The 12,702-nt window shown below is 57.5% G+C and overlaps 1 annotated feature.

Moving 5' to 3' along the window:
* Positions 6,528-7,028: an enhancer, noted in NCBI's record as "H3K4me1 hESC enhancer chr11:68869613-68870113 (GRCh37/hg19 assembly coordinates)". NCBI's record gives its function as "activates a minimal SCP1, AML or CMV promoter by ChIP-STARR-seq in naive H9 embryonic stem cells {active_cell/tissue: H9 hESC(naive)}" and the evidence as "EXISTENCE:reporter gene assay evidence [ECO:0000049][PMID:30033119]".

The raw sequence follows: 12,702 nt of genomic DNA, 5'->3' as shown, positions 1-12,702 counted from the left end.
CAGCCATATCCCCAGCCCCTGGCACCCAGCAGCATTCAATAAATGGTAATTGAATGGATAAATGAATGAATGAGGAGGTACCTGTTCATTCATTTAATGCTAATACTAATACTGATTAACAATAATAATAGCAGGAGCCGGCTCTTCACAGATGCTGGGATTCAAAGGTAAACCAGACATAGTTCGCATTTTCAATAGTCAACAAATGTGTAATTAGCCAATAAATAAGTTAATAAGTGATCAATAAATGCATGATCATAGACTGTGGTGGGGCTCCCAAAGGGGCAGGGGCAGGTGCTTGGATGGGCACCAAGGAGCTCCTCCCCCAGGGAGTGGGTCTGAGACCTGAAAGGCGTGTGAGAATGAGAAAAGCGTGTCGGCAGAACAAATGTGTACAAGTCTCCTGCAGCTGCTGTAACAAACCATCCCAAACTGGGTGGCTCAGAACAACACAGACTTATTTTCTCAGTTCTGGGGACCCGAAGCCCAAGACCCAGGTGTCAGCAAGGCCGCCCTCCCTCTGAAAGTGCTAGAGGAGGGTCCTTCCTGACACTTCCAGCTCCTGGGGGCTCCAGGTGTTCCTTGACTGTGGCCACATCACTCCAGTCTCTGCCTCTGTCTTCGTGCATCCTCCTCCTCCTCTCCGTGTCTTCACCTCTTCTCTCATGAGACACCTGGCATTGGATTTTGAGCCCACACAGATAATCCAGGATGATCTCATCCCTTACCTTAATTTCACCTGCAAAGACCCTTCTTTCCAAAAAGGTCACACCCACAGGTTCTAGGTTAGGATTTGGACATACGTTAAGGGGGTCATCATTCAGCCCAATCCAAACATCCTGGACAAAGGCCCTGAGGCTGGGAGGTGTAGTGCTGGCCAGTGACATGGCAGGGGTGGCAGGCTCACAGTGGGCAGGGGCTCGTGCACGCAGGCTGGGGACCAGGGTGGAGGGCTGTGGACGGCCATGGCTGAGTTTCACAACGGGGAGGGACATGATCCAATAGCTGCTGCGGGTGCAAAGACAGAGCAGAGAAGTCAGCAGTGGAGAAACAGGTGGACCATCAGGGACCACTATAGTCCTCCAGGTGTGTTGGATGGCGGGGCTGGGACAGGGGAGAGGGAATGAGGAGAGGCAGACCAAAAATGTGCTTGGAGGTTCAAATGGACTTTGTTGATGACTGCAATGGGGTGGGGTGGGAGCATCAACACCGAGCCCAGGACACGGGCATGAGCAGGTGGGTCACAGAGGCTTCTCCCAAGATGAGGAGGAGGGTGTGACCAGGTGTGATACTCTGGACAATCCTGAGGTGTGATACTCTGGACAACCCTGGGGTGTGGGGGCCCCATCTCACAGAGCTGGGATAAGAGGAGGCTGAAGCAACATTCAGGTGGGGCTGTGCCTGCATTCACTGTGGCATCCAAGGCAGTATGGTAGTCAGCAAACCCTGGTGCTCAGCAAACCCAGGTGCTTAGCAAACCCCACTGCTGAGAAAATCCTGGTGCTCAGCAAAACCCAGGTGCTTAGCAAACCCCACTGCTTAGAAAATCCTGGTGCTCAGCAAACCCTGGTGCTCAGCAAACCCCAGTGCTCAGCAAACCCTGGTGCTTAGCAAAACCCAGGTGCTTAGCAAACCCCACTGCTCAGAAAATCCTGGTGCTCAGCAAACCCTCACAGCATAGTCCCTGGATGGCAGAGCCTTTCTCAGTGTTTCTGGCATGAATACTGCATTCCAGGCCATGGGGTTTGCACTGTGAGAGACCCGTGGACCTGCCCCAGGTAAGCTCTTAGTGCAGCAGCCACTGGTCCTCTCCCAGCAGCACGGGCTGGGCCACTCCTGCCATGCCAGGTTTCAGCCTCCCCAACACCAGGGGACCTGATGCTAAGTTCTCCACAGGCCCTTCCCACTTTAAAGTTCTCCAGCTCCCAAAAAATCAGGGACTTTCCAATTTAGAAAATACCCTCACTGGATGGCCCTACCCATCCAGCCATTAGCTTCTCAAGCAGGCCAGGCAGTCCCTGGGCTGCCCACCTCTCCGCAGGCATCAGCCCCAGCACCACCTCTTGGATATGGAGCAGACACAGCATTGCCCACTGCCCTGGGCCCTCCTTACTCCTTCTCTGTCTGGACCAGTTCTTCCTCTTCCCTCCCCACATCCTGTTGCAACCATTCATGCTCAGGGATCCTCCTCTCCCCAGAAGCTGTGGCCTCTGAAAACCCCAAACTCTGCCATTTGCTGTCCCACCTGCCTTTCTGTGGCTGGGCCCCCACACAGCCAGATACAGATGCTGTCCCCTGCCCTGGTCACTCAGCAGGTGAGGGCTGGGCCCTGGGAGCCTGGCCTCTGGGTAGCCCTGAGTGGGAAGATGGTGGAGGGAGGCCTGTCCCCACTGGAGCAGTTCACCAAGGACAGGAGGCTGGGACAAGCTCCCTCCGTCCCCTGCCCACGGGCTCAGAGAATCACCCAGAGGCACCTTCCCACAGCGCCTCACTGGGCAGCCGGGCCTGGGAGCCAGGGCCAGCAGGCCTCAGGGGACCTGGAAAGTTTGGTTTTGCTTTGTGGATCTGGACAAACTGGAAATGTAAAGGGCTGCACTGGACGTACCCAGCTGGGCAAACTGGAAGTGCTTCAAAGAGCTGGGGGCAGGGCCGGGCGGCCGGTTCACACGGCTACGGCCAAGCTCAGCCCATCACTCAGGCCACCTGCCGGAGCCCATGCACCACCTCGCTGCTGCCCCTCCCCACTGCCAGTGGTCATGGACCCTGCCCACAGAGCCCCTCGGCAGCAGGGAGCTCCGGGCCAGCCAAGCGCAGGCCTCCTCCTCCATGATATTAATCAATCACATCCTGATAGTGATCAATGGAGGGCCCCTGGCAGCAATGGGCTGGCCAGCCTCCAGGCTCACCGTCCAGAGGCAGGAACGCCGAGGATGGCAAATGTGATCTTTGGCAAGGGACAGCACATTGTCTTACCGCTGTGGGAAAATGCTTAATGCGCAAACATTTCCTTAAAACGAGCTGACAAGGAAACGTTCAAGATGGCCTTATTAAAGATAATCATCCTGGCTGAACAGGACAAAAATAGATTAAGTCCCTTCTGAACTCTGAGAGCAGGATACGTGGCCCAGCAGAGCATCACTAAACCAAGGCGGGTGGCAGCGGGGAAAGACTCCACGGCTTTCCCTTGGGTTTCACCACTTGGAGAAGCTTCCCAGTCGGCTGGCGTGGAAGCCCAGCTCCTCACCCCACCCCAAGCACAGGGCAGGCGCTGAGCCCCGGGCTGGCAGAGGTAGGGAGTGGGCTGCAGGCACGGGGCGGGGAGGGGGCCTCCGGAGCTGCACACAGGAATGTCAGGGCCTGGCTTAATTTCTAAACCTGCCATATGGCCCTGCGTCCTGGGACCCAGGCTGGTGGCCAAGGAGGAGCCCTGGGGCTCGGTCCACAGCCCTCCAGGCCGGCTGCACAAAGCCATTTTTCAAAGGTGTTTCCCAACAGTCTCTCTCAAAGGAACTGCCCTTTGAGAAGCTGTCTTGGGCTCGAGCCAGGCAGGGCTGTCTGGGGGCTCTTGGCAAACGTGCCAGCCGTCCCCAGATCAAAAGTGCCTTTCTTGGTTTGCTCACTGCCTCTCTGTGCCAGGTGAATGAGCTGTGGGGGCACCCCGGGCCGGGCAAGGCCAGAGTTGTCTTACCCAGACTCAAAGATGGGGGTGGGGGCTGACCACAGGTGCGGTGTGCCCCACCAATCCATGGAAACCCCAACCCACGGGGCAATGGCTCACGTTACAAAAGATCCATGGAGGGGCCCCTTCAAACCGAAGCTCCCCAAGGACGTGGCACTGTTGCTCAGGGATCATTCGCCATGTGACACAGAGAGGCCCAGACCAAGGAAATGTAAGGCCAGAGGGCTCACAGGCCCTGCCAGCTGACGTGGCCTCAGTCTAGACAGAGAGACAGGCAAAGTGGGCACGACGGGGGTCTGTGAAACCAACCCAACCTTCATTCACCCACCACGGGACCCTCCCTTCTGGGCAGAGACAGGTGCTTTCGACCCAGCAGGTGGGCGCTGACAGCTCCACTGCCACACAAGCCCCTGGCATCTTCTCGCTGCAGACACACTTGGTGGCAAGTGCTTGCGTGTGGACGCTGCGTGGCCCGATGTCCCATCGGTCAGTGTCCAAGAGGAAGGCTCTGGGATGCCGCTTACTCAGAGAGCCCTGCACGCACCACTCCCAGCTTCACCTGTGCTGCCAGGCTGGGACCAAGTCCACCTTGGAGATGTGGCTGGCAACTGTCATCGCTACCAGGTCCATCTCGCCGCCACTCACTCCCCACCGCCCTCCAATAATGCCAACAAAACTCACAGTGGAGCCAGGGTCTCGGGGGAAAGAAGAAAGATCTGCAAGAGCCTCCCCGACCATCTCCAGATGCCTGAGCCCCAGAGCTGACTTGCACGGAGGCTGATCTGCATCGAAGGCTGGCCCCGGGCCAGGCACCTGGGAGGGCTTTGGGCCCATCTCCCACCTGTCCTCGCCTTAAGCCAACAGGGCAGGAACTGTGGTTATTCCCGTTCTGCAGATGAGGCACCCAAGGCACAAGGAGTCTGTGCAGCCAGCGGGTGGAGGAGAAGCTGGGGCCACCCCCGGAACATTTCTGAGGACACCATTCCTGGCCCTGTACAAACCGACTCTGTCATCTCCATTCGCTACAGAGAACCAGCAACTGATGCCAGTGCAGTGCAGAGAAATAACGGGCCCATTTTACAGATGTGGAAACTAAAGTTCAGGCAGGTCCAATAATTTGCCCAAACACCAAACAGCTGCAAATGGCAAGGCTGGGATCAGAAGGAAGACTGGATGCTAGAGCCTCCCTGGCCCCCATCCCTTCATTCCTGATACCTGCACCCCACTCTCTGGCCTTCACCCCTCCCAATGCCTAGCATGCGGCCATTCAAAGCAATGCTGGGTTCCGCCCCTCACCGTAAAAATCAAAAAGCTGCCTGCTCGTGAATGCTTGTGAGAGAGAAAACACCTGGAAAGGTAGAATCAGGTGCTCCTAAAATTCACATCCACTTGGAATCTCAGATGTGACTTTACTTGGAAATAGGGTTTCTGCAGATGTAATAAGTTGAGGTTATACTGGAGCAGGGAAGGCCCTGAATCCAATACAATCGGTGTCCTTATAAGTAGAGAGAAATGTGGACACAGACACACAGGGGAGAAGACACATGAAGGGGGAGACAGAGACTGGAACGATGCAGCCACAAGCCAAGGAACACCAGAGCCGCAAAAAGCCAGGAGCAGCAAGGAGGGACGCTTCCCTAGGGCCTTCAGAGGGTGCCCAGTCCTGCTGGCACCTGCACCTGGGACTTCTGGCCTCCAGAACTGCAACACAGCACATCTCCATGGTCTAAAGCCACTCAGGCTGTGGTACTTTGCACAGCAGCCCCAGAAAATCAGCACAGCACCCAGCACCCTGCATCTGGGGGTCAGCTCCCACCTGTTCCTACCACATTATTGGCCAACTGAGGATGGGAGTTGAATTTTGTTCTGGAACAAATAATAATAATAAATGCCAGAACTCGCCACCCCTGTGCTCGGGTCCCCACAGCCTGGAAGTGTGGCCTCTCTGGAAAGCATTCCTGCTTGCCCCAGCCAAGTGGGTGGCCCCTCTGTAACCTCTACCAGATTCACTTTTCCCCCATGTCTCCCGTCCAGCCCGGAGTCCGCCTCCCGGGGCCACTGCCCCCATGCAGGATGGAGCAGAGCTCGCCATCCTGCCTGCCCCATGGTCATGTGGAGTCGCTGCCTTTCAGTTATACGGCAGGACTACTTGCCAGGTGGAAAGTGGGACCATCGGCCCTGGCGCCGCCAAACACATTCTTGGCAACTGAAACAAATGCCAGAGGTAGATGAGCCAGGCAAGACTGCCTCCCAGAGGGGGCACACTGCCGGGCCTGCGAACCCTTCATCAAACCCCAAGGAGCCGGTGAACGTTTGATGAGGGTCCTGGGGTCTCAGGCCCTTCTGCCTGGGCCAGTCTCATGTCCCGCTCGAGTGACGTGGGTCAGCAGTTTCCCTCCAGCCCAGCCATGGCCATCGTTGCCCACCTGCCACCTCTCAAGGGAGGAGGGCCCCCACTCCTCCTTCCCAGCTCTACTGAGAGGTCTCCTTGCCTCCAGCCACAGAGCCCCTGATGCACCCCTTCCTCCTGGCCAGAGCACAGGCTGTGCACCGCCTGTCCCCACAGCTGAGCTAATACCGCCACCTTTGGGCACTCAGACTGAGGCAATATCCCCCACCCGTGTTCTCCTGTCTTCACTGGGTGACTTCTAACCTCAGACAGTTCCCAAAACAAATGCAATCCCTTTTGCCTGTCAGAGTGGCCAACACCACCCTGGTTTCTGGAGGCAGCCAGCCCAGGTGTACTCAGGGGCAGGCGTGTTCCAGGATGTTCTGAGCCCCAGCTCCCTCCTCTGTAAGTCAGAAGTGAGGATGCATGAGTATGCACAGCACACTTCCACACAGTGTTCCCGCTGTGGCCACCGACGGAGGTCCAGGGTCCCCCAGGCTCTGCTCTGATGCTGGCCCAGCACCCAGAGTTTTCCTTGACCATTTTTCCAGGGCTGTGCCAGAGGCTGGGTGGGCTATGCCAAGGAGAAAAAGCAGGGAGGGGGCGTGGGCAGAGCTGATGGACAGGCAGGGCACCCGGGGCCCAAGCCACTGCTGCACTCAAGGAACAGACATTGGGGTGACCTCAGCAATTGCCTGGATGTCTGGGCCTCAGTTTCCCCTCTCAGTCCTCCCTGCCCTGTCCACTTCCAGGAGAAGGGGCTGTGCAGTGCGGGGGGAAAGGTGGAGCTGTCCAACTTGGCCTCTGACAGCTCCCAACCTATTTCCCCTTCTGGGACTTTGGCCCTGTCTGCAAAGCGTGACCCCCCTCACCAGTGGCCCACTGCATCCCCAGACACAGAGCCTCTTTTCTTTGCCCCAGTGAAGGCTGAAAATGGCCTTTCCCTAAGCGCACTCACCAGCAAGGGGTGACTGCAAGAGCCTCCTGGAGACCCGGATTTCTGGGGAAATGAGGTGGAATGAGTCGCATACCCACAGAAGCGCAGGGTCTTTTGAGCACCTCACATGCCCGGGGGCACTGACGTGGCCCACCCGGGGAGAAGGGAGTCTGAGTGTCCCCACAGTGGCTGGCAGGTGGACAGACCCAGGGGATGCTCCAGCCCCACCCAGCGGGAACCCCACAGCCAGAGAGGGCCCCATCAGTACCCTGCACTCCAGGTGGCCGGCTGGCCTGGTGGTGGGAGCCAGCAGCCCACCTCATCACACCCTCTCCCCACTAAAAGCACGCTACCCTCTCTCCTGGCTAGAATCTAACAAGTGTTGGTTGTCACTGCCACCACACAGATTCCCCTAGGGTCTCTTAGGCAAGGGTTGTAAGGTTCCCAGCACAGGCCCAGGAAGGCTGCCAGGAGGAGGAGGAGCTCCTGCCAGGAGGGGACTCCCCCTGCCTTCCCAGGCCTGGTGCTGAGCGAGGCAAGGAGGGTACCAGGGCCTGGGCACTGGGTCGCCTGCCGCTAGGCTCTGCTGCCCTCCGCTGGCTTACCCAGGAACTGCGTGTGCCCAGGGCAGCATCTCCAGGTGTGTCTAGCCTGCCTACCTACTCTACCTGGCCATGCCTCTGGACATGCAGGGCCTCTGTCGCAGGCCCTCACCTGTATGCAAATTATGCTCTGAGGGCATCTTGTAGGTTACAAGCCTCCGGTACCCAGGCCCAGCTGGGACGGGCTCAGTCATGCCTGCCCTCATCTGCTAGGTCTACGATGCTCCTTCCCTGGTGCACACTGGGGGTGGCGATCGCTATTCAACACCATCTGGGGCTTCTTCAAAAGGTGATGACGTCACCCCTGAGACAAGGTGGGCATTGGGACCCAGCACCGATGTGGGACCCAGAGGTAGGAGGCTCGCAGCCCTGCCAGGAGCCCCCTCTGCTCACTTCCACCTCATCTCACACACCAGGAACCTGAGGCCAGTGGAGAAGGGGCCACAGTGCCTGTGCCCACAGAGCTGGGCTCATATCCAAGACTGTGTCCCCTCCAAGCCCAGCTCATCACTCTCTGCCCTGCCAGTGATTGACAAACCAGTGGACCAGCCAGCAGGCCTCCTCTGAGGTCTCCCAGACTGCCTGCTCCTGGAGCAATACCCAAGGTGACTGATGCCCCATGCGGCTGGAGCACTCCCCACTTGGGCAGGCAGCTTTGCACCAGCACCACCCCACCATGCCTGTCCCATGGACCCCCCAACCCTGGGCCCAGGGCAGGTTGTTCCCAGATGCCGCAGCCCCTTGAGAGGTCACAGGGCATCCCTCTGCCCAGGTGGTACCCCCAGCCCAGGCTCGGGCAGCATTCGAGGCCACCGCTCCAAACAAAACTGAGAGAGAGGGGCCCTGGGGACAGCCCCAAGCTGCAAGCTCTCCACAGGCTCCCGGAACCCAGGGGCTCAGGCCTAGATGTGTTCCAGAAGCACCCCTGGGCCGCTGCATGGAGAAACAGCAGGGCGCAGAAGCATGAAATCGTTGCACTTGCCCCATGTGGCCTTGGCTGCCTGGAGGTCGCGATGTGAGGTCTTGCAGAGCTTGGCACCGGGAAGTGGCTGCTAATGAGCACAATTCGGGGGCTGCACTGTTCTCCTGTCTGCCACAACAAATCACCACCAACCCGGAGCTCAGAACAGCAGAGGTTTCTTCTCCCACAGTTCCGGGGGTCAGAAATCAGGGCATTGGCAGGGCTGTGCTCCCACCGAGGGCTCTAGAGGAGGGTCCTTCCTGCCTCTTCCAGCCCCGGAGGGCTCCCAGCCTTCCCTGGATTGTGGCCGCATCACTCCAGTCTCTGCCCTCTGTCTTCACGTGGTCTTTTCTGTGGTCTCTGCCTTCTCTATTCTTATAAGGCACCAGCCATTCTATTCAGGGCAACCCTAAATCCCGCATGGCCTCACCTCAAGGTGTTTAACCTAATTACACCTGCAAAGACCCTATTACCCAAATAAGGTCGCATTTGAGGTGCCAGGGGTTAGGACCTGGTCATACTTTGGGGGATCCCCGCTCAGCCCACTACAGTGATGCTAATGCTGGGATGTGGTTCTCATTGTGTGACCCCCGGCCGGCAGCATCAGCAACACCAGGGAGCTGGTCAGGAGCGGAATTCCCAGGTCCCTCCCAGGCCTGACAAATTGGAACCCTGGTGCGGGGCTGGCAGCCTGTTCCACGAGCCCTCCAGGAATCCCGATGGACACGAATGTTTGGGAATCACTGGAACAATGCTGGAAAGCTCCCCCACCACCCCGCTTTCCATATGTATTGGAGAGTCTGTTTTGGGTGGATCGGGTGCCATGCTACGGGCTCATTTATTGGGACCGACGGCATCTGGGACATTCCATCCAGGAGCACTCACAGGCCCACAGCCAGCTGTGAGACAGGAGGGAGAGGTCGATGTTGGGACAGACAGAACAGGTGGTAGGAGCTGAGAGGGGGTTGTTCTGATGGGGGAGATCAGGAAAGCCCTCCTGGGGAGGGGGCTGGGCCGACCCCATCCCCTCCCTGCCACGGCTAAGCCACTAAACTACACCAGAGCTGAGGTACAGCTGAGCTTAAAATCAGAGCTAAGCTACCGCTGACATTACACTCATAAAAGACAGGCAGGAGCCCTGCATGGACCAACAGAAGGCGCGGCCGTCCCGGGCCTGGGAACTTCCTGGCACTCCCTCCAATGTGAGCATGCCACAGACCACAGTCGTGTTCATGAGGCCTCTGCCCCATCAGGAGCAGAAGTCACAGGTGCCTTCAAATCACGCGGTCGCCACAGCCGGCATCTCCACGCGTCCTTCCTGCTCAGCGCCACGCTGCAGCTGCACAGGCCTTACTCTGTCACACCTTGGGGTTTGGGATATTCTGTTAACTGCTGCTCGATGTAATTATTTTCCTTGTGGCTCCGTGGATTTGGGGCTGATTTAAAGACATTATTTGAGGCTGGGCGCAGTGGTGTGGCACTTTGGGAGGCTGAGACAGCCAGATCCTTTGAGGCCAGGAGTTCAAGACCAGCCTGGCCAACATAGTGAAACTCCATCTCTACTAAAAATACAAAAAAAAATTAGTCAGGCGTGGTGGTGCACACCTGAAATCCCAGCTACTCAGGAGGCTGAGGCAGGAGAATTGCTTGATCCCAGGAGGCAGAGGCTGCAGTGAGCCAAGATCGCGCCATTGCACTCCAGCCTGGGTGACAAGAGCGAAACTCCATCTCAAAATAAATAAATAAATAGAATAAAATAAAGACATTATTCGAAGAAAGGGCCACGGATTCAGTACATGCCTAGAGGCCCTGACACCCAACTGGCTACAAACCTTGACTCCCACCCTCTGGCCAATCCAGAACTTCCTGGTATTTTAAAGTAGCTTGTAACTATTTGTTTCACCATCAGGATAAGATGTGTGTGTTCGTTCGTGACTTTAAACATCTTATTTTTCCTCATAGTTCTTAAAGTTCAGCCTGGGAATGGTTTAAAATACTAAAAGGGGGCCAGGTGCGGTGGCTCACGCCTGCAATCCCAGCACTGTGGGAGGACGAGGTGGGCGGATCACTTAAGGTCAGGAGTTCAAGCCTGACCCAGCCTGGCCAACATGGTGAAACCCAATCTCTACAAAAATCTAAAATTACCCGGGCATGATAGTGGGTGCCTGTAATTCCAGCTACTCAGGAGGCTGAGGCAGGAGAATTGCTTGAACCCAAGAAGTGGAGGTTGCAGTGAGCCAAGATCAGGCCACTGCACTCCAGCCTGGGTGACAAGAGCAAAACTCCATCTCAAAAATAGTAAAATACTAAAAAGGACAACAAAAGGAGCAAATGCCCCACTGACCCACCAACCACAGGACACGTTCATGTCTGCAGTATTGTTTCTCTGCAAACACACCTGTAACGGGATTTAAAATGGGCATTTCCATCTGAAAACCAGAGACATGAATCCCAAGGCAGGAGCCCTCTGGACATAAGAATTTACAAAGGAAATGAATAAAAACCAGCTCCCGACTTGTAGGCCTCTTCACCCACTGGAGACGAGAGAACACCCAGAGGGACCCAGAAAGTGGGGTTAGTGCAAACGATGTGGCCACTCCACCAGCTAACACCCAGCCTGGTGAGAGGGCTCAGGGCCACCTGGAGGGTGGACTGGTGCCCCCCACATGGAGATGGTGCCTGATGCCACAGCAGCCCAGCCATGCAGGGGTGGGCCGGGGAGGGCACCTCCAGCCTCCAGCCAGTGAGCCCAAGAACACCTGAGGCTGCTGGGATCCAGGTGGGGACCACGCAGGAGGGGCAGAGGGCCCTGGCATGAACTGTTTGAAGACTGGCTTAAGGACCCATGGGAGGACCAGGATCCCCAGTGCCTGACGTGCTGGGCCAATGAAGGGCACAGCAGAGGAGTGGACAGGCACCCAGGGAGCCCGATTCAGCTGGAGGCCACCCGCATCACCCAACGTCAGAGCCCACCTCCATCGACCCAGGAAAGAAAGGCCCCTCGCCGACCCAGGAAAGAAAGGCCTCTCGCCTCTGATCTCTCCCGCCAGCGCCTCGATCAGCAAGTCTGGAAGGAAGAGGTGCCAGGAGAGAGGAAGTGGCCGTTTCCCACAACTCCTGTCCCAACAGAGTTCCCATGAGTTCCGCGGCTGACCCACATCCCCCTCCTTCCCGACATGCCTGGCGCCCCTCACCTGGCAATGGGAGGGCCCAGCTGCACCAGGGATGGGTCCTGCAACCACAGCTTCGAGGGTCCCTCACCTGGAGCATTGCTACCGGAAGCTCTGCCTGCTGCACCCCACACTGCTTCTCCCTCCCTCACTCTTCACTCCACTCTGCACTTATCAAGGTCATTACCACAGGACACGGGAAAGGAGAGAGGCCATATGCCCACCGCCATCCTGAAGATTGAGAGCTAAGGACATGAGTGTAGAGAGGCCGGTGGTCCACCCAGACCGCAGTCACTATGGCTGAGCCCAGGCCTGGAAACCGAGGAGCCGCCCCATGGGAAGTCCGTGGCCACAGCTTGGGGCTGCAGGCAGAGTGGCCCTGGGCTCACGCTCTACCTTGCCACCTGTCTGCATGGGTCCCTGAATCTCCTTGTGCCTCAGTCTCCTCACCTGCAAGATGGGGACAGTGACCCCACATGCAAGGAGCTCCAAGGGTTGAACCTGGTGGTTGAAGCTCACAGCCCATGCCGGGGTCGCTAGCTCGGCTTCCTCATTGCCATTCTCCCAACAAGCCCACTCGCCTCCCTTTCCAAAAGACAGGACAGATGCCAGGAAAAGCCGATTTCAAGTCCAAGACCACAGCCAGTAGCAGGCAGGACCCAGGCCAAGCCTCAGACTCTAGGCCAAGTGTCACCTGCCACCTTCCACGGTGACACACGGAGCCACTGGGACTGGCTGGCCACCCTGCCGTGGTGGGCAAAGGGCCGTCCTGGGAGTTGCATCTGACGCTGCAGCATTGGTTCAGCGAGTGTTTATCCGGGGCTAGGACAAGCCAGGCACGCAGAGCTCACGTTTCCACCCAGAGGTACCAGGGGGTGGAAAGCAGAGAAGGTTGGGGCCGGGAGGAGCAGCGGCAGCACCATTCACCAGCCAGGCAGCCTTGGCAGGTTATCCACCTTCTTTG

The sequence above is a fragment of the Homo sapiens genome, chromosome 11, assembly GCF_000001405.40.
Source record: "Homo sapiens chromosome 11, GRCh38.p14 Primary Assembly".
In the NCBI taxonomy this organism is placed as follows: domain Eukaryota; kingdom Metazoa; phylum Chordata; class Mammalia; order Primates; family Hominidae; genus Homo; species Homo sapiens.
This window is presented reverse-complemented; position numbering and strand designations above follow the sequence as displayed.